The sequence below is a fragment of the Homo sapiens genome, chromosome 14, assembly GCF_000001405.40.
Source record: "Homo sapiens chromosome 14, GRCh38.p14 Primary Assembly".
Classification (NCBI taxonomy): domain Eukaryota; kingdom Metazoa; phylum Chordata; class Mammalia; order Primates; family Hominidae; genus Homo; species Homo sapiens.
The window spans coordinates 37480653-37503783 of record NC_000014.9 but is presented as its reverse complement, the minus strand read 5'-3'; the positions used below and the strand labels follow the sequence as shown (position 1 = coordinate 37503783).

Here is a 23131-nt window from a genome sequence, read left to right as displayed (position 1 = left end):
TTAGCCCATTTCCATTTAAGGTTAATATTGTTATGAGTGAATTTGAACCTGTCGTTATGATGTTAGCTGGTTATTTTGCCCGTAAATTGATGCAGTTTTTTCCTAGCATCGATGGTCTTTACAATTTGGCATGTTTTTTGCAGTGGCTTGTTCCAATTGTTCCTTTCCATGTTTAGTGCTTCCTTCAGGAGCTCTTGTAAGGCAGGCCTGGTGGTGACAAAATCTCTCAACATTTGCTTGTCTGTAAAGGATTTTATTTCTCCTTCACTTATGGAGCTTAGTTTGGCTGGATATGAAATTCTGGGTTGAAAATTCTTTTCTTTAAGAATGTTGAATATTGGCCCCTACTCTCTTCTGGCTTGTAGGGTTTCTGCCGAGAAATCCACTGTTAGTCAGCTTCCCTTTCTGGGTAACCCGACCTTCCTGGCTACCCTTAACATTTTTTCCTTCATTTCAACCTTGGTGAATTTGACAATTATGTTTCATGGGTTTGCTCTTCTCAAGGAGTATCTTTGTGATGTTCTGTATATTTCCTGAATTTGAATGTTGGCCTGCCTTGCTAGGTGGGGGAATTTCTCCTGGATAATATCCTGAAGAGTGTTCTCCAACTTGGTTTCATTCTCCCCGTCACTTTCAGGTACACCAATCAAGATTTGGTCTTTTCACGTAATCCCATATTTCTTGGAGGCTTTGTTTGTTTCTTTTTACTTTTCTCTAATCTTGCCTTCTCACTTTATTTCATTAATTTGATCTTCAATCACTGATATCCTTTCTTGCACTTGATTGCATCGCCTATTGAAGCTTGTGCATGCATCATGAAGTTCTCCTGCCATGGTTTTCATCTCCATCAGGTCATTTAAGGTCTTCTCTACACTGTTTATTCTAGTTAGCCATTCATGTAACCTTTTTTCAAGGTTTTTAGCTTCCTTGTAATGGGTTTGAACATGCTCCTTTAGCTCAGAGAATTTTGTTATTACCGACCTTCTGAAGCCTACTTCTGCCAACTCATCAAAGTCATTCTGCATCTAGCTTTGTTCCATTGCTGGTGAGGAGCTGTGAGCCTTTGGCACAGAAGAGGTGCTCTGGTTTTTAGAATTTTCAGATTTTCTGCTCTGGTTTCTTCCCATCTTCATGGTTTTATCTACCTTTGGTCTTTGATGTTGGTGACCTACAGATGAGGTTTTGGTGTGGATGTGCTTTTTGCTGATGTTGATGCTATTCCTTTCTGTTTGTTAGTTTTTATTCTAACACTCTGGTCCCTCAGCTGCAGGTCTGTTGGAGTTTGCTGGAGGTCCACCCAAACCCTGTTTGCCTGGGTATCACCAGCAGAGGCTGTAGAACTGCACATATTGCAGAAGAGCAAATATTGCTGCCTGATCCTTCCTCTGGAAGCTTCGTCCTAGAGGGGCACTCGCTTGTATGAGGTGTCTGTCGGCCCCTACTGGGAGGTGTCTCCCAGTTAGACTACAGGGGTGTCAGGGACCCACTTGAGGAGGCAGTCTGTCCCTTCTCAGAGCTCAAATGCCATGCTGAGATAACCACTTCCCTCTTCAGAGCTGTCAGACAGGGACGTTTAAGTCTGCAGAAGTTGTCTGCTGCCTTTTGTTCAGCTATGTCCTGCCCTCAGAGATGGAGTCCATAGAGGCAGTAGGCCTTGCTGAGCTGCGGTGGGCTCCACCCAGTTTGAGCTGCCCAGCCACTCTGTTTACCTTCAAGCCTCAGCAATGGCAGACGCCCCTCCCCCTGCCAGGCTGCAGCCTCACAGGTGGATCTCAGACTGCCATGCTAGCAGTGAGCCATGCTCCATGGGCGTGGGACCCACCAAGCCAGGCATGAGAGAGAATCTCCTGGTCTGCAGGTTGGTAAGACTGTGGGAAAAGCACAGTATTTGGGTGGGAGTGTACCGATTTTCCAGGTACAGTCTGTCACGGCTTCCCTTGGCTAGGAAAAAGAAATCCCCCGACACCTTGTGCTTCCCAGGTGAGGTGACACCCTGCCCTGCTTTGGCTCACCCTCGGTGGGCTGCATGCACTGTCCAACCAGTCCCAACGAGATGAACCAGGTATCTCAGGTGGAAATACAGAAATCACCCATCTTCTGTGTCGATCAACACTGGGAGCTGCAGACTAGAGCTGTTCCTATTTGGTTATCTTGGCCATTCAGTAAAGTTATTTAATTTAAAACATTATCTGAGATGATATTATTTCTACTTCTTGGTGTATAAAAATTGTTTTTTTAAATGAAATGATGATGATAGTTGATGAGATCTAAAAAATAAAAGGTTGATAACACATCCGAAGATTTTTTGAAAATAGAATTGGTCTGTGGGAACCACTGTTTTAGGGAATTTTGGTCATGTATAGAAATTAATGGATTATATATAAAGAAAAATTTGAAATTTGTATGTATTTGTAGACTTTAAGCAAACAGAGCCAAATCAGATCCTGTCAAAAGTTACTGATTGTGATTTATAATGAAATGAGATCTACCTATACATCATAGTGTTCTTAGAATATTAACGTACATTGTGAATAACTGCATATAGTTTCTGACTGAATATAAACCCCATCTTTAAACTTACAAATATATATAATACCTACATAAATCAAAAGTTTCAAGGTACATGGCTAGTAAAGATTAAAATGCACAATTTCTAAACTGTTTTAAAATGGTCTAATTTAAAACTACTGACTTACATAACTTTGGCTATTAATCAAAATATAACTTCAGGGATATTGAGGAAATGGTCAAGATGACATTTTCAAATAAGAAGTAGTGGGAAGTAAGAAACCTTGATGTGAGCACTGCTTCACAGTGTAAAACTGACATAAAAATTGTTAAGGAAAAAGGTATATCTTTGAAATTGAAGGTGACTAGATATGTGAATGCTGTAGTGCTGTTAACAATACATAAAGAAGGTTAAAATATATTCTATTACATGTGTTCTATGTATTCTATTACAGTGGTTCTATTACATTAAAGGTGTCTCAGAAAATTCTGCTACAATGTTCAAGTCCATTAAATTAACAAGTGACTTCTTTGCCTGGTAAGCTGTTTGTTAACATTTTGCTAGCTGTCAAAAGGACTGACAGATTATGCAGCTTTATTTAAATTCTAATAAAAATGCAAAGATCATTCAAAATAAACATATATAATTATGCACTGTGAAAAGCAGTATTGAATACTTCAGAAGAACAACACAAGAAAATTAATTTCACCCTACTGGTTTTTATGCACCTACAAGTCTCAGGTTGCAATGTCACAGATGATCTCAACTCAAGCAGGATTATTGTAAAGCTAAATTAGTTCAGGTGGTAACTTGACTGCCTCTTCCCCTTGCTAATAACTTTGCCTATTAACTTGTGACTGTGAAATGATTTAAATAGTATGGCCTCCATGAACTGATGATCAGTTATTAAATAAAAATGGTTTGCCCTACAGGGTAACAATGGTTCCCAAGAAAATGACTTTTTTGACCCCAAATATGGCATATGGTATCCAATCTAAAAAAGTTCACTGGGTTAATTCTACTTTTGTTCTAAACTATTAACATGATCAATAACTACATATTGTTTAGTTCCCAAAAGAAAGTGTTTTGTTTTGTTTCATGTGTTTGAAGTATTATTACAAGATCATTTAACTTACTTTTGAACTTTTTCATTGGCCACTTGGGAGGCCTCTCTGGCATGTTGAAGTTGTAATTCCATATTTGCTCGCTCTGTCAGAGCTTGTTGCAGTTGAGTAGCCAGTTCCTCATTTTGTTGTTGAGTGATGGAAACAATGTTCTCTCTGTTTTTTAAAGCTTCTTCATATGTACTAAGGGTATAGTTAAACTGATCCTTCAGATTTTCTTCTTGAGATAAAGATTTGTGTAAACTGAGAAAATATTAAAAAAAATTTAAAGATAAGTAATGTAAACTGAGTGATCTATGATCTATTTAACAAAAACCTCCATTTAGAATCTCTAGTTCTAAAAATCAATAAATACTTAAATGAGCAAATGAAAATAATTTTTATGTCACAACATTATAATTGATAATTTCTCTGCTTCTAGGCTGAAAGCTACCCAGACAAATGATTATGCTACCAAAGCATACAAAAAGATGCTGCAAGATGTTAATTTAATTATATCAGTGTAAATATTACATTCAATTTTCTTTAAAAGGAATAGCAGAGAACTGGAAAATAAAGTATCTCTAGGCAAATAAAAGAATGTAATAAGCTGAAAGAAGTGAGAAGAGAATGGGCATTGGTTTAGGAGATCGAGGGTCTATTCTGCCAAGCACTTAATGAGAATGGATGAGGTTTATGCAAACACTGACCAGCCTTCTACATAGCATTTTCTACTTGATCTTCTACTTGTCACAGTTGAGATATAAATGAATTTAAAATCACTAGTCAGATTGCACAGAAATAAAATGTATTCATATATACATGTGTATATTTTTTTTTGGCTAATGAATCTCTTAACGAATACATCTACTCATTAAGTCATACAGAGAAATAGCATATAAATTAAGACTAAATGAATGCAGAAGAAAATGCAGACAAATAGAATCCTAAAATGCTAAAGGTCAAATCTTTGATATGTCATTACACCTACCACCTGAGGTTATTTTGAAATGGCACCAAGCACCTCACTCAATTAAATAAAGACATTTTGAAAATATAAATATTTAATAAGAGAAATTTAAACTCCACACAGGAGATGTTCTTTTTTATTAAATATCATTTCAGTATATGCATACAAAGGAAATGTCGATTGGAGACATTTGAAGTAAAACAACTTAACTATATAATATAGATTGATAATGGGAAGGAAAGCAATATCATTATTAAACCTGCAAAAAGCTAGTTAGTGAACTTTGGCATTGTCCTAATATCTAGCCTGATACTTTCTTTAAAACTGTTCAAAGTAATTATAAATTTCCTCTTTTAGTTTAAGTTATCTATAAGCCTTTACAGTATGCTTATTTTGGAGAAGGCGTCCCATAGAACTAGGATGGATATGAAACAAGGACAGTCAGCATACCAAATGAAACCACTTCAGGATTCAAACCCCTAAGAATACGGACTGTTACTAAGCGCTGGTCAACTGGTTACTACACAGAAAATTAGAATAGTGTGTAGTGCCACATTTGTAGAGTGCAAAAAATACCTTTTTTCATGGTTTGCACATTGTTATTAATCTAACTATCCCTACTTCATTTCTTCTCAGATTTTTCTACCAACCCATATGCTTAAAGGCTGTCTCTTGCCCATTTTACTATTTTTTCTGTGTCCTCTCACTTTCTGCATTCTTGTCTGTTCCAAGTTCCAATTTTCTTCAGCTCACCCTCTTTATCTCCATGAAAGATGCAAGAAAGAAAGAAAGAAAAGAAGAAACAAACTAAAAGCTAAACCTTAAAAAAGGTACTTGTTTATGTTCTTTATATTTAAAACATTAGTTATATTTTAATTGTTAATTACGTTTTAAATTACACAAAGTGCATATATACAAAGTATTCAGCTTGAAAAAATGTGAAGAACAAAATACAGAACAAATGCAGAAATCTAGAAGACCCCCCAGTGTTCCCTCCCATTTTTTCCCCTCCCCAAAAGGTAAGTACTAATCCAACCTTTATCAAAATGTAAATTGCCTATTTTTAAACTTTTTGTCTGGCTTATTTTCCTCAACAATTGGTAAGTGAAGTTCACCTTGCTGTTGCATATAATTCATTGCTTTTTATTGCTATAAAATATTCTGTTATATACATATGCCGTAACTTATTTAACTGTCCACAGTTGTTGCTATGGATATTCCTGTACATGTCTTTTGATGGACCTAGGTATTCATGTGTAAAGTAGAATTTCTCCAAAGGGTATGCATTATTTTCAGATTTAGTACAATGATAATAGATGCTGATTTAGATTTAGATGCTGCTAATAGTCTTCCAAATTAGTTGTACCAATTTGTACTCCCATCAGCAAAATATGAGTTTCAATTGCTTTATATCCTCCCTCAGAATGGCACTGTCAAATGCTTTTAACTTTAGTTATTGTAATATGGATGCAGTGATGTTTCATTCTCTTCGTATTGTCTTATGTATGTGTATATTATTGATTGGTTGAGACAAGTTCTCACTATGTTTTCCAGGCTGACCTTGAACTCCTGGGCTCAAACAGTCCTCCTGCCTCAGCCTGCTGAGTAGCTCGGACTATGGGCATATGCCACCATGCCTGACTCTTAATGCTGTCTTTTGATGAAGGTAAGTTCTCAATTTAAATAAAGTTCAATTTATCATTGTTTCTTTAATGGCAATGCTTTTTGTAAACTGTTTAAAAAATCTTAGCCTACTCCATTCCCTTATATTTTAACTTTACATATATGGCCTAATTTAAAACTCAGTGAGACAGCTTCGTTTGGGAATTCAGCATTTGCCTATCATGCCTAAAGCAGTAACCAGTATACCGTAACCAATTACATATTAAGAATCAATGATTAGATCCCATTTGTCAATTTTGTCTTTTGTTGCCATTGCTTTTGGTGTTTTAGACATGAAGTCCTTGCCCATGCCTATGTCCTGAATGGTGATGCCTAGGTTTTCTTCTAGGGTTTTTATGGTTTTAGGTCTACCGTTTAAGTCTTTAATCCATCTTGAATTGATTTTTGTATAAGGTGTAAGGAAGGGATCCAGTTTCAGCTTTCTACATATGGCTAGCCAGTTTTCCCAGCACCATTTATTAAATAGGGAATCCTTTCCCCATTGCCTGTTTTTCTCAGGTTTGTCAAAGATCAGATCTATGCGGTGTTATTTCTGAGGGCTCTGTTCTGTTCCATTGATCTATATCTCTGTTTTGGTACCAGTACCATGCTGTTTTGGTTACTGTAGCCTTGTAGTATAGTTTGAAGTCAGGTAGTGTGATGCCTCCAGCTTTGTTCTTTTGGCTTAGGATTGACTTGGCGATGCAGACTCTTTTTTGGTTCCATACGAACTTTAAAGTAGTTTTTTCCAATTCTGTGAAGAAAGTCATTGGTAGCTTGATGGGGATGGCATTGAATCTGTAAATTACCTTGGGCAGTATGGCCATTTTCACGATATTGATTATTCCTACCCATGAGCATGGAATGTTCTTCCATTTGTTTGTATCCTCTTTTATTTCATTGAGCAGTGGTTTGTAGTTCTCCTTGAAGAGGTCCTTCACATCCCTTGTAAGTTGGATTCCTAGGTATTTTATTCTCTTTGAAGCAATTGTGAATGGGAGTTCACTCATGATTTGGCTCTCTGTTTGTCTGTTATTGGTGTATAAGAATGCTTGTGATTTTTGTACATTGATTTTGTATCCTGAGACTTTGCTGAAGTTGCTTATCAGCTTAAGGAGGTTTTGGGCTGAGACAATGGGGTTTTCTAGATATACAATCATGTCGTCTGCAAACAGGGACAATTTGACTTCCTCTTTTCCTAATTGAATACCCTTTATTTCCTTCTTCTGCCTAATTGCCCTGGCCAGAACTTCCAACACTATGTTGAATAGGAGTGGTGAGAGAGGGCATCCCTGTCTTGTGCCAGTTTTCAAAGGGAATGCTTCCAGTTTTTGCCCATTCAGTATGATATTGGCTGTGGGTTTGTCATAGATAGCTCTTATTATTTTGAAATACGTCCCAACAATACCTAATTAAAGAGCTTCTGCACAGCAAAAGAAACTACCATCAGAGTGAACAGGCAACCTACAAAATGGGATAAAATTTTCACAACCTACTCATCTGACAAAGGGCTAATATCCAGAATCTACAATGAACTCAAACAAATTTACAAGAAAAAAACAAACAACCCCATCAAAAAGTGGGCGAAGGACATGAACAGACACTTCTCAAAAGAAGACATTTATGCAGCCAAAAAACACATGAAAAAATGCTCATCATCACTGGCCATCAGAGAAATGCAAATCAAAACCACAATGAGATACCATCTCACACCAGTTAGAATGGCAATCATTAAAAAGTTAGGAAACAGGTGCTGGAGAGGATGTGGAGAAATAGGAACACTTTTACACTGTTGGTGGGACTGTAAACTAGTTCAACCATTGTGGAAGACAGTGTGGCGATTCCTCAGGGATCTAGAACTAGAAATACCATTTGACCCAGCCATCCCATTACTGGGTATATACCCAAAGGACTATAAATCATGCTGCTATAAAGACACATGCACACGTATGTTTATTGTGGCACTATTCACAATAGCAAAGACTTGGAACCAACCCAAATGTCCAACAATGATAGACTGGATTAAGAAAATGTGGCACATATACACCATGGGATACTATGCAGCCATAAAAAAGGATGAGTTCATGTCCTTTGTAGGGACATGGATGAAATTGGAAATCATCATTCTCAGTAAACTATCGCAAGAACAAAAAACCAAACACCGCATAGTCTCACTCATAGGTGGGAATTGAACAATGAGATCACATGGACACAGGAAGGGGAACATCACACTCTGGGGACTGTGGTGGGGTGGGGGGAGGGGGGAGGGATAGCATTGGGAGATATACCTAATGCTAGATGACGAGTTAGTGGGTGCAGCGCACCAGCATGGCACATGTATACATATGTAACTAACCTGCACAATGTGCCATGTACCCTAAAACTTAAAGTATAATAAAAAAAATATTAAAAAAAAAAAAAAGAAAAATTACCTAGAAAAAAAAAGAATCAATGATTAAGTTTTAAAAGTCTCACCATTATGAAAATTATGAGCATCCTGATTTAATTTCCTAATCACTCCTCACTTTCTAGTCTTCTATCATTTAATTTTTAGGGGGCAAATTTATACCTGATTTTGATTTTTCTCTCAGATGGACATGTTTGGATTGTACCCGCAAGTTCAAAAGCTGCTTAGCATTCAAAATACCTTGGAAACCTGTTAATTACCATCAAGGCTTTCCCAAGCAATGGACATGATCTTTTTAAAAAGATGGAAGTAGACAATGTCACTTAAAAACCTGCAATAGCATGTCCTTGCATTCAGAAAACAGTCTTTAAAAATAATAAATGCTATATGTTAACTCACTAAATGTCACAACTTGCATGAGAAGTCTTATTAATATTCCTTTTTTTACTGATACAAATGGAAACAGAGATAAGTAATTTAATACATGTAGCAGAGCCAGAATTTGAACCTACAGTCTTTATGTCTGCACTGGAAACCTCTTCTATACTTGCTGTGGTCTATAAAGCCCTGCATCACTGACCTCTCTACCTCCTTCCTCACCTTTTAGCTAGGCATTCAGATTCTCAAGCGTGTCAAGTTTTTTCTGCTGAAGGTATTTGTTTGGAATGCCTTTCCACCCATGCTTCTACCTGACAAAGTCTTACTTATCCAGTAAGACAAAGCAAAAATATCACTTTCTTAGATACACCTACGTGGGTCTTCAATCTAAATCTTGATTTTCCTCTTTGTTAGTCTGTCTCATAGATCCTACTCTTCCTTCTCAGAACTTGTAATTTGTAGTTTTTTTCCATTTCATCTTGTGGTTTTCTTCCCAATTCTAACATATTAATACTTCATTTATATATAGCAATTTTATTTTATGGGAAGAATACATTCCTTAAGAACTTCAGTAAATCAAAACATCTATAATTCTAAGGAATTTTCCAATAGGAATAAAGGTGAAGCAGGAGAGCTATATTCCAAGCATTTATAAATCTGTAACCACTGAAGCACAATTTTTGCTTTAGTACTTCTTCCTCAGAATGGTCTTTCCTTAACTGACAACAAGGCCCGCTTGTTTAGCTTTCTTCACAAAGACATATTACATTTACCCTCTTTCCAAAGTTACTAATTTTCAGGTGCATTTTCAGCGTAGTAGTAGTATTATAACTCCTCAAAGGCACTTAAGTTGTATAGGAACATATTTTAAGTTACAGTAAGCATAAATGATGAAATAACAGCCAAAGAGTCACTGAATCACTCTCAGAAATTCTAAAGCATGTAATCAATAGTGCAACTTACACAATATCCACATAGGATGTTAACTATTTCTGTTAACCAGGAAGCTAATGAGGTAATAAGATAAGCAAAGTTTAAATTCGCTCTTCCAGTTTTAAAATTATATAATTCTTTATAAATTTAAGTTTTATAATTTAGTGTAGAAAGTAAAACTTTAAAAATATTTTTACTTACTAATGTTTGATATGATCATATTTCTAATTCACATCAAATAAGCCTGCACATTATCTCCTTTGTTGCTCACCACATTGAGTCCAATGGCAGGCCAAGGTAGAAAATGTCCTTAATGTGTATTACTCCAGTGAGTGCCATGTAATAGATTTCCTGTCTGAAGTGGTTTCTGTCTTGGTTTCTACGTTCCCTGGTCTATTACTTTATGTCTGTGGCCCTGACTATTTTCCTGGTCCCTGACTCTCTATGCCACCTCAGCTTAATGTAACTTGGAATTATAAGGTTTATGAGCCACTTATATGTTTTGCTTGCAGATATTTATATTCTCTTCAACTTGTCTGCCTACCTGTTCATTGAACTCTATCTTAATTGTAATGTTAAACATGGATTAAGCTTACTTTTGCAATTAGTATTTTTCCATTTATACCAAGTTTTGATGCTACTTTTCCTGACTTCCTCTCTTGTCTCCATGATCAGGTATTGGCCAAGTCCTTACAGAAATCATTTTACTCATCATCCTACAATATGCACTTATTATTCTGTTTATGCTTCATTTATTTTACAGTAATTGCTCAATCATTAGTGTGTTGTATATATGCTATTTATTTTAATTGGATAAATATTTTTGGATTAAAATTTAGAGATGAGGTACAACAATATAGATCAGTAGGTAGGTCTTAACCAGGGGTAATTTTGTTCTTCAGAGGACATTCTGCAACATCTGAAGACATTTTTGTCACAACTGGTGGGGGTGGCGGGGAGGGTGAGATGGTACTAGCATTTAGTGAATAGAAGCTAAAGATGCTGCTAAACAGAGGATAGATTCCTACAACAGAGAATTATCCAGACCACTATGTCAACAATGCTGAAACTGGTGTAGATGAAGAGATGTTGGGTTGAACTTAGAAGATAAAGATTCAAATTTCAGTCTTGTCATTCACTCTGAGTGACATTGGAAAAAAAAACTTACCTACTGAATATTAATTTCAACTCGAAAACTATGAGAAAAATATCATGGAAATCATATGAGAATGAAATGAGGTGATCTACATATGTGAAAATAACTGGCACAATACCTGCCAAAGAATACGCATTCATATCTGTATAATTTTTAAAAGGAGTTACTTATATCTAATTAACTTTGTACAAAAATGTTACACAATACTCAAGTATTTTATAAACATTTTACTGAGAAAAACAACTGCCTGTTCCTACAGGTTTTTCATGAATTGGGAGAAGGAAACTAGTTTTCTCAACCTTTGTTCACTTACTGATAACATTCTTAAATCATTCTTTTTTAAAAAATGGGCAGGTTTGGCTTGTTTTACTGAATTAAAATAAATAAAACCTAAGCAAATATGAAATGTAGAAGTATGTGCTGCTTTTTCCTAAGAATACATTTCTGAAAGGATAATGTCTACTTTTATTTCCTGGTTTACTACATCAATTAATTTGCTAAGACCCTTTCAAGAAGATAGCTGAAGCTGAGCATGGTGGCTCATGCTTGTAATATCAGCACTTTGGGAGGCCAAGGCAGAAGGATTAGACAAGGAGTTCTAGACCAGCCTGAGCAACACAGTGAGACCCCATCTTAAATATTATTTTTAATTGAAAAAAGAAAATCACTAACTTGCTCACTTATTTTTAAGGAAATCAGCATATGCTCCAGTATAATAGGCCTTAATTCTGAATGACATACAGAGAGAGGGAAATATATTCAGAATGGATAAGAGTGTGTATGAGGAAATTTAATCTGCAAATCAGACAGTCTAGTAACTTCAATGATTTGCTTCCACTGTTGCTGCAGTTGGTTTAGTTTAATAAAATAACCTGCTAAAGTACTTTCAGAGAAAAAATAATTTCTTTATTATAAAGTAAGTCAATTAATACTGAACTTAAAATTTCAAGAATTTTAAACTGGATAAGTTGTCAATATATTTATTAATATTTATTACAAGTTTTCTGGATGCTACATTTCACAATATAAATTGGGTTTCACTAAATATCTGTTGAATTCATGTTTAGAAATGTAACAACCTATACAAATAATTCTAAGGAAGCATTAAAAAATATCTAAATTTTTGGAGGTTTTTTTGAGACAGAGTCTTGCTCTTTCACCTAGGCTGGAGTGCAGTGGCATGATCTCAGCTCACTGCAACCTTCACCTCTGGGGTTCAAGCGATTCTACTACCTCAGCCTCCTGAGTAGCTGAGACTACAGGCACATGCCACCACACCCAGCTAATTTTTGTATTTTTGGTAAAGGCGGAGTTTCGCCATGTTGCACAAGATGATCTTGATCTCCTGATCTCAAGTGATCCACTTACCTCGGCCTCTCAAAGTGCTGGGATTACAGGCCTGAGCCATTGCGCCTGGCCAGAAATATCCAACTATTAAATATACTACAGTACCTGGAATTAATGTAGGGCCAGCTCCTGATTATCTAAGAGTATACTGTGTGCTTCATAAATTTGGTGATGTGGGAAGCAGAGTGGTAGGACATTATACTCACAAAGCCACTTATATTTATATACCACTGTATAGTTCTCAGGCAACAAAGTTTATCTTGAATTTTGTCATATAACACATAAATATAATTGTATGGGCATCACTAAAATGAAAAATTTATACTGTCAAATTTAATAGAAGGGAGACTTCTGCTTTTGAGGAGATGGAAGAAATAGAAGATGCAATTAAGAAACAAATGGAGGATTTGCTGGCAAGATGGCCAAATAGGAACAGCTCCAGGCTGCAGCTCCCAGTGAGATCAACGCAGAAGGCAGGTGATTTCTGCATTTCCTACTGAGGTACCTGGTTCATCTCATTGGGACTGACTGGACAGTGGGTGCAGCCCATGGAGGTGAGCTGAAGCAGGGTGGGATGTTGCCTCATCTGGGAAGTGTTAAGGGGTCAGGAAATTCTCTTCCCTACCCAAGGGAAGCTGTGAGGGACTGAGCCTGAATAACCGTGCATTCTGGCCCAGATACTGAGGTTTTCCCATAGTCTTCGCTACCCACAGACCAAGAGATTCCCTCTGGTGCCTACGCCACCAAGGTCCTGGGTTTTAAGCACAAAACTGGGTGGCCGTTTGGGCAGACACCGAGCTAGCTGCAGGAGTTTTTTTTCTATACCCCGGTGGCACCTGGAATGTCAGCAAGACAGACCGTTCACTCCCCTGGAAAGGGGGCTGAAGCCAGGGAGCCAAGTGGTCTGGCTGGCAGGTCACACCCCCACGGAGCCCAGCAAGTTAAGATCCACTGGCTTGAAATTCTCATTGCCAGTACAGGAGTATGAGGTCGACCTCGGATGCACCAGCTTGGTATGGGGAGGGGGGTTCACCATTGCCGAGGCTTGAGTAGGCAGTTTTACTCTCACAGTGTAAACAAAGCCACAGGGAAGTTCGAACTGGGTGGAGCCCACTGCAGCTCAGCAAGGCCACTGTGGCCAGACTGCCTCTCTAGAGTCTTCCTCTCTGGGCAGGGCATCTCTGGAAAAAAAGGCAGCAGCACCAGTCAGGGGCTTATAGATAAAACCCCCATCTCCCTGGGACAGAGCACCTGGGGAAGGGGTGGCTGTGGGCACAGCTTCAGCAGACTTAAACATCCCTGCCTGATGGCTCTGAAGAGACCAGCAGATCTCGCAGCACAGCGTTCAAGCTATGCTAAGGGTCAGACTGCCTCCTCAAGTAGGTCCCTGACCCCTGTGTATCCTGACTTGGAGACACCTCCAAGTAGGGGCTGACAGACACCTCATACAGGAGAGCTCTGGCTGGCATCTGGTGGGTGCCCCTCTAGGACGAAGCTTCCAGAGGAGGGAACAGGCAGCAATTACTGCTATTCTGCAACTTCTGCTGGTGATACCCAGGCAAACAGGGTCTAGAGTGGACCTCCAGCAAACTCCAGCAGACCTGCAGCAGAGGGGCCTGACTGTTAGAAGGAAAACCAAAAAACAGAAAGGGATAGCATCAACATCAACAAAAAGGACGTCCAGTCAGAGACCCAATCCGAAGGTCACCAACATGAAAGACCAAAAGTAGATAAATCCATGAAGATGGGGAGAAACCAGCAGAAAAAGACTGAAAATTCCAAAAACCAGAATGTCTCTTCTCCTCCAAAGGATCACAGCTCATTGCCAGCAAGGGAATAAAACTAGATGGAGGAGTTTGATGAACTGACAGAAGTAGGCTTTAGTAGGTGGGTAATAACAAACTCCTCTGAGCTAAAGGAGCATGTTCTAACCCAATGCAAGGAAGCTAAGAACCTTGAAAAAAGGTTAGAGGAAATGCTAACTAGAATAACCAGTTTAGAGAAGAACATAAATGACCTGATGAAGCTGAAAAACACAGCACGTGATACATACACAAGTATCAATAGCTGAGTTGATCAAGCGGAAGAAAGGATATCAGAGACTGAAGATCACCTTAATGAAATAAAGTGTGACGACAAGATTAGAGAAAAAAGAATGAAAAGGAACAAACAAAGCCTCCAAGATAAATGGGACTATGTGAAAAGACAAAATCTACTTTTGATTGGTGTACTTGAAAGTGATTGGTGTACTTGAAAGTGATGCGGAGAATGGAACTCAGTTGGAAAACACTCTTTAGGATATTATCGAGGAGAAATTCCCCAACCTAGCAAGACAGTCCAACATTCAAATTCAAAAAATACAGAGAACACCACAAAGATATTCCTTGAGAAGAGCAACCCCAAGACACATAATCATCAGATTCACCAGGGTTGAAATGAAGGAAAAAATGTTAAGGGCACCCAGAGAGAAAGGTCAGGTTACCCACAAAGGGAAGCCCATCAGACTAACAGCAGATCTCTCGGGAGAAAACCTACAAGCCAGAAGAGAGTGGGGGCCAATATTCAACATTTTTAAAGAAAAGAATTTTCAACCCAGAATTTCATATCCAGCCAAATGAAGTTTCATAAGCAAAGGAGAAATAAAATCCTTTACAGACAAGCAAATGCTGAGAGATTTTTGTCATCACCAGGTGTGCCTCACAAGAGCTCCTGTACGAAGCACTTGTACAGGACAAAGAAGGGCATGATACAATGGTAAAGGGATCAATGCAACAAGAAGGGCTAACTGTCCTAAACCTATATGCACTCAACACAGGAGCACCCAGATTTATAAAGCAAGTTCTTAGAGACCCACAAAGAGACTTAGACTCCCACACAATAATAGTGGGAGACTTTAACACCCCATTGTCCATATTAGACAGATCAACGACAGAAAATTAATAAGAACATTCAGGAATTCAATTCAGCTCTGCACCAAGCGGACCTAATAGACATCTACAGAACTCTCCACCCTAAATTGAGAGAATATACATTCTTCTCAGCACCTATTGCACTTATTCTAAATCTGATCACATAATTGCAAGTGAAACACTGCTCAGGAAATGCAAAAGAATGGAAATCATAGCAAACAGTCACTCCAACCACACTGCAATCAAATTAGAACTCAGGATTAAGAAAACTGCACAACTACATGGAATCTGAACAACCTGCTCCTGAATGACTACTGAGTAAATAATGAAATGAAGGCAGAAATAAAGATGTTCTTTGAAACCAATGAGAACAAAGATACAATGTACCAGAAACTCTGGGACACATTTAAAGCAGTGTCTAGGGGGAAATTTATAGCACTAAATGCCCACAAGAGAAAGCAGGAAAGATCTAAAATTCACACCCTAACAACACAATTGAAAGAACTAGAGAAGCAAGAGCAAACAAATTCAAAAGACAGCACAAGGCAAGAAATAACTAAGATCAGAGCAGACTGAAGGAGATAGAGACACAGAAAGCCCTTCAAAAAATCAATGAATCCAGGAGCTGGTTTTTTGAAAAGATGAACAAAATAGACCGCTAGCCAGACTAATAAAGAAGAAAAAAGAGAAGAAACAAATAGATGCAATAAAAAGTGATAAAGGGGATATCACCACTGATCCCACAGAAATACAAACTACCATCAGAGAATACTATAAACACCTCTACACAAATAAACTAGAAAATCTAGAAGAATTGGATAAATTTCTGCACACATACACCTTTCCAAGTCTAAACCAGGAAGAAGTCAAATCCCTGAATAGACCAATAACAAGTTCTGAAATTGAGTCAGTAATTAATAGCCTACCAACCAAAAAAAGTCCAGGACCAGATGGATTCACAGCCAAATTCTCCCAGAGGTACAAAGAAGAGCTGGTACCATTCCTTCTGAAACTATTGCAAAGAACAGAAAAAGAGGGAATCTTCCCTAACTCATTTTATGAGGCCAGCATTATCCTGATACCAAAACGTGGCAGAGACAAACAAAACAAAAAGAAAATTTCAGGCAAATATCCTTGATAAACATTGATGCAAAAATCTTCAATAAAATACTTGCAAACTGAATCCAGCAGCATATCAAAAAGCTTATCCACCACGATCAAGTCGGCTTCATCCCTGGGATGCAAGGATGGTTCAACATATGCAAATCAATAAATGTAATCCATCATATAAACAGAACCAATGACAAAAAACACATGATTATCTCATTAGATGCAGAAAAGGCCTTCAACAAAATTCAACACCCCTTAATGCTAAAAACTCTCAATAAACTAGGTATTGATGGAACATATCTCAAAATAGTAAAAGCTATTCATGACAAACCCACAGTCAATATCATACTGAATGGGCAAAAACTGGAAGAATTCCCTTTGAAAACTGGCACAAGACAAGGATGCCCTCTCATACCCACTCCCATTCAACATATTATTGGTGTTATTGGAAGTTCTAGCCAGGACAATCAGGCAAGAGAAAGCAATAAAGAGTATTCAATAAGAAGAGAGGAAGTCAAATTGTCTGTTTGCAGATGACATGATTGTATATTTAGAAAACCCCATCGTCTCAGCCCAAAACCTCCTTAAGCTGATAAGCAACTTCAGCAAAGTCTCAGGATACAAAATCAATGAGCAAAAATCACAAGCATTCCTATACACCAATAACAGACAAACAGACAAATCATGAGTGAACTCCCATTCACAAATGCTACAAAGAGAATAAAATATCTAGGAATACGATTCACAAGGGATGTGAAGGATCTCTTCAAGAAGAACTACAAACCATTGCTCAAGGAAATAAGAGAGGACACAAATAAATGGAAAAACATTCCATGCTCATGGATAGGAAGAATCTATATCTTGAAAATGGCCATACTGCCCAAAGTAATTCACAGATTCAATGCTCCTATCAAGCTACCATTGACTTTCTTAAAAAATTGAAAAAACCTACTTTAAATTTCATTTGGAACCAAAAAAGATCTGCATTGCCAAGACAATCCTAAGCAAAAAGAACAAAGCTGGAGACATCACACTACCTGACTTCAAATTGTACTACAAGGCTATAGTAACCAAAACAGCATGGTACTGGTAGCAAAACAGATATATAGACGAATGAAACAGAACAAACAGAGGCCTCAGAAATAACACCACACATTTACAACCATCTGATCTTTGACAAACTTGACAAAAACAAGCAATGGGGAAATAATTCCCTATTTAATAAATGGTTTTAAGAAAACTGGCTAGCCATATGAAGAAAACTAAAACTGGATCCCTTCCTTACATCTTATACAAAAATTCACTTAAGATGAATTAAAGACTTAAACATAAGACCTAAAACCATAAAAACCCTAGAAGAAAACTTGGGCAATATCATTCAGGACACAGGCATGGGCAAAGACTTCATGACTAAAACAACTAAAGCAATGGCAACAAAAGCCAAAATTGACAAATGGGATCTAATTGAACTAAAGAGCTTCTGTACAGCAAAAGAAACTATCATCAGAATAAACAGGCAATCTACAGAATGGGAGAAAATTTTTGCAATCTATCCATCTGACAAAGGGCTAATATCCAGAACCTACAAAGAACTTAGACAAATTTACAAGAAAAAAACAAACAACCCCATCAAAAAGTGGGCAAAGGATATGAACAGAAACTTCTCAAAAGAAGACATTAATGCAGCCAACAAACATGAAAAAAATCTCATCATCACTGGTCATTAGATAAATGCAAATGAAAACCACAATGAGATACCATCTCACGCCAGTTAGAATGGTGATCATTAAAAAATCAGGAAACAACAGATGCTGGAGAGGATGTGGAGAAATAGGAATGCTTTTACACTGTTGGTGGGAGTGTAAATTAGTTCAGCCATTGTGGAAGACAGTGTAGCAATTCCTCAAGGATCTAGAACCAGAAATAGCATTTGACCCAGCAATACCATTACTGGGTATATACCCAAAGGATTATAAATCATTCCAGTATAAAGACACATGCACACGTATGTTTACTGCGGCACTGTTCACAATAGCAAAGACTTGGAATCAACCCAAATGCCCATCAGTGATAGACTGGATAAAGAAAATGTGGCACATATACACCATGGAATATAAAAAACGATGAGTTCATGTCCTTTGCAGGGACGTGGATGAAGCTGGAAACCATCATTCTCAGCAAACTAACACAAGAACAGAAAACCAAACACCGCATGTTCTCACCCATAAAAGGGAATTGAACAATGAGAACACATGGACACAGGGAAGGCAGCATCACACTATGGGGCTTGTCAGGGGGTGGAGGGGAAGGGGAGGATAGCATTAGGAGAAATACCTAATGTAGGTAACGGGTTGATGGGTGCAGCAAACCACCATGGCATGTATATACCTATGTAACAAAACTGCACATTCTGCACATGTACCCCAGAACTTAAAGTACAATAATAGTAAAAAAGAAACAAATGGAAATTTTAGAAGTGAAAATACAATAACTGAAATGAAAAGCCCAGAGGATAGGCTAAATAGCAGAATTGAAGGGACAGAGAAAGAATAAGAGAACTGGAAGAGAGAACAATAAAAATGATTCAATATGAATAACTGAGACATAGACTGAAAAAAACTATCACAACTTCAGGGACCTGTGGACTATAATAAAAGATCTAACGGCTGGGTGTGGTGGCCCACGACTGTAATCCCAGCACTTTGGGAGGCTGAGGGGGGCGGATCACGAGGTCAAGAGATTGAGACCATCCTGGACAACATGGTGAAACCTCATCTCTACTAAAAATACAAAAATGTGCTGGGCGCGGTAGGACACTCCTGTAGTCCCAGCTACTCAGGAGACTGAGTCAGGAGAATTGCTTGAATCCGGGAGGCGGAGGTTGCAGTAAGCCAAGATTACACCACTGCACTCCAGCCTGGTGACAGAGCGAGACTCCGTCTCAAAAAAAAAAAAAAAAAAAGATCTAACATTTGGGTCATCAAAGTCATGGAAGGAGAAATGGAAGAGGATAGAGCTAAAAAAACAAGTACTTAAAGAAACAATGGCTGAAAACTTTGAAATGTGGCAAGACACAGAAACCTACAAGAAGTTGAGAAAACTCCAAATGGGGAAAACCCACATAAATGAATTCAAAGACACATCACAATTAAACTTCAAAAAACTAACGCCAAAGACAAATGACAGAACTCATAGCTTCTTTTCCAAGGTTGACTAGTATTGCATTGGATATATATACTACATTTTCTTTATCTGTTCATCTGTTGATGGTACTGATACTTAGGTTGATTCCATAACTTGGCTATTGTGAACAGTGTTGCAATGAACATGGAAATGCAGACATTTCTTTGAAAAAATAATTTCAGGACAGTTGTGGCGGCTCACACCTGTGAAGTCAGCACTTTGGAAAACTGAGGTGGGAGGACTGCTTGAGGCCAGGAGATCAAGGCCAGCTTGCGCAACATAGTGAAACCCTGCCTCTACAAAATTTTTAAAAAATCAGTCAGGTGTGGAGGCATACACTCGTAGTCCAGGTACTCGGGAGGCTGAGGCAGGAGGATTGCTTGAGCCCCTGAGTTTGAGGCTGCAGTGAGCTACAGTCATGCCACTGCACTCCAGCTTGGGCCACAGAGCAAGACTCTGCCCTTAAAAAAAAACATTTCAAATCTTTTGGGTAAATATCCAGAAGTGAAATTGCTGGATCATATAATTCTATTTTTAGTTTTTGGAGGAACCTGCTTTCAGTCATCCATAATGGCTATACAGTTGGCCCTCTGAATATATGGACATACAGTTGGCCCTAGAATACATGGATTCTGCAATTGTGGATTCAACCAACCATGGATGAAAAATATTTTTTTCTTTAAGGAAAGAAGGATTGTTGTTGGCTGTGCATGGTGGCTCACACTTATAATTCCAGCACTTTGGGAGGCCAGGGCAGTTCGATCGCTTGAGCCCAGGAGTTTGAGACCAGTCTGGTCAACGTGGCAAGACCTCATCTCTACTAAAAAATACAAAAAATTAGCCAGGCGTGGTGGCATAAGCCCATAATCCCAGCTACTCGGGAGGCTGAGACAGGAGAATCGCTTGAACCCAGGAGGCGGAGGTTGGAGTGAGTCAGGATCATGCCACTGCACTGAAGCCTGGGCAACAGAACGAGACTTGGTCTTAAAAAAAAAAAAAAAAGGTTGTGTCTATACTGAACATGTGCAGATTTTTTTTGTAGTGATTATTCCCTAAACATATAGTATAACAACTATTTGCATAGCATTTACATTGTGTTAGGTATAAGCTAGAGATGATTTAAGGTATATAGGAGGATGTGCATAGGTTATGTGCAAACACTACAACATTTTACACAAGGGATTTGACTATCCATGGGTTTTGCTATCCACATGGGGTGCTGATACCAATCCCCTAACAGATACTGAGGGACAGCTGAATTAATTTATGTTCCCACTGAGAGTATACAAGGGTTCCCTTTTCTCCATATCCTCACTGACACTTGTTAACTTTTGTCTTTTTGAAAACAGCTGATATGGTTAGGCTTTGTGTCCCCACCCAAATCTCATCTTGAATTGCAATTCAGGTGTCGAGGGAGGAACCTGGTGAGAGGTGACTAGTTCATGGGGGTGGTTTCCCCAGTGCTGTTCTCATGATAGTGAGTGAATTCTCAGGAGATCTCATGGTTTTATAAGTGTCTGGAATTTCCCCTGCTTGCACTTCTCTCTCCTGCCACCATGTGAAGAAGGTCCTTGCTTCCCCTTTACCTTTTGCCATGATTGCAAATTTCCTGAGGCCCCCCTCAGCCATGTGGAACTGTGAGTCAATTAAACCTCTTTTCTTTATAAAATACCCAGTCTTGGGCAGTTCTTGACAGCAGTGTGAAAATGGACTAATACAACAGCCATGCTGACTGGTGTAAGATATCTTATTGTGGTTTTAATTTGCATTTCCCTATAATTAGCAATTAAACATTTTTTCATATATCTACTGGCTATCTGTATGCCTTCTTTTGAGAAGTGTCTATTCAAATCCCTTGCCCATTTTTAAACTGGGTGTTTTGTTTTCTTGCTATTGAGTTGAGTGCCTTACATATTTTGGATATTAACCCTTTATCAGATGTATGGTTTCCAAGTATTTTCTCCCAATCCATAGGCTGTCTCATCATACTGTTAATTGTTTTCTTTGATGTACAGAAGCTTTTTAGTTTCATGTAATCTCATCTGTCTATTTTTTTCTTTTGTTGCCTATGCTTTTTGGGGTCAGATCCAATAAACCAACATAATATAGTTTCCCCTCCTATGTTTTCTTCTAGTAGTTTTATAGTTTCTGGCCTTTCATTTAAGTCCTTAACCATTTTGAGTTGACTTTTGTGTGTGGTGAGAGGTAAGGGTCCAACTGCATTTTTCTGCATGTAAATATCAAGTTTTCTAAGCATTATTTATTGAAAAGACTATCCTTTTCCCATTGTGTATTCTTGGCACATTTGTCAAAAATCAATTGATGATATATATGAGCGTTCATTTCTGGGCTCTCTATTCTGTTGCATTGGTCAATAGGTATATTTTTTGGCAGTATCATGCTGTTTTAATTGCTACAGCTCTGTTGTATTATTTGAAATCAGCTATTGTGATTCCTCTAGCTTTGTTCTTTTTGCTCATGATTCCCTTGGCTATGTGGTTTCGGTGTGTGTGTGTGTGTGTGTGTGTGTGTGTGTGTGTGTGTGTGTGTGTGTGTTGGGGGGGGTCCATATGAGTTCCATGATAGTTTTTTCTATTTCTTTTAACAATGACATTAGAATTCTGATAATTATTGCACTGAATCTGTATATCATTTTGGGTAGATCATTTGGTGTGACATTTTAACAGTATTAACTCTTCTAATTCATGAACATGAGATATCCTTCCACTTATTTGTGTCCTCTTCAATCTCTTTCATTGACATTTTAGAGTTTTCATTGTGCAGGTCTTACATCTCCTTTTGGTAAATTTATTCCCAAGGTTTAATTTTTTTAGGGGGTAGCTATTGCAAATGGGATTGTTCTCTTGATTTCTGGTTCAGATAGTTTGTTGTTAGTGCATAGAAGTGCTATGGATTTCGGGGTGTTGATTTTGTATCCTACAACTTTACTGTATTTGTTTTTTGTGTTTTTGCTCTTTTAGAGGATCTTTGTCTGCCACCCAGGCTGGAGTCCAGTGGTGCAATCATAGTTCACTGTAACCTTGTACTCCTGGGCTCAAGCAATCCTCCTGTGTCAGCCTTCCAAATAGCTAGGACTACAGGCATGTGCCAACATGCCTGGCTATTTTTTTAAATTTTTAAATAGAGACGAAGTCTCACTATTTTGCCCAGGCTGGTCTTGAACTCCTGGCTTCATGTGATCCTCCTGCTTTGGCCTCCCAAAGTGCTGGTATTACAGACATGAACCACTGCACCCAGCCTGTTTTATTAGTTCTAAGAGGTTTTTTTTGTTTGTTTGTTTTTTTGTGGAGTCTTCAGGGTTTATGATCCTGTTCTCAGCAAACAATGACAATTTCACTTCTTTCTTTCCTATTTGAATGACTTTTATTTCTTTCTCTTGCCTAATTGCTCTGGCAAGAATTTCCAGTACTATGTGGAAAAGAAATGGTGAGAGCTGGCATCCT

General features: G+C 38.1%; 1 protein-coding gene across 13 annotated transcripts in view; it reads right to left on the bottom strand.

The window, feature by feature from the left end:
• Positions 1-23131, bottom strand: part of MIPOL1 (mirror-image polydactyly 1) — a 354425-nt gene that overhangs the window by 48578 nt on the left and 282716 nt on the right. For 12 of the 13 annotated variants that reach the window (NM_001195296.2, NM_001195297.2, NM_138731.7 and 9 more), the window contains one exon: positions 3646-3876. The exons of the other annotated variant lie outside the window; for it this stretch is intronic. In NM_001195296.2, coding sequence (NP_001182225.1) covers positions 3646-3876 — 231 coding nt within the window. The remainder of the gene's footprint in view (positions 1-3645; positions 3877-23131) is intronic. 13 annotated transcript variants of the gene reach the window in all.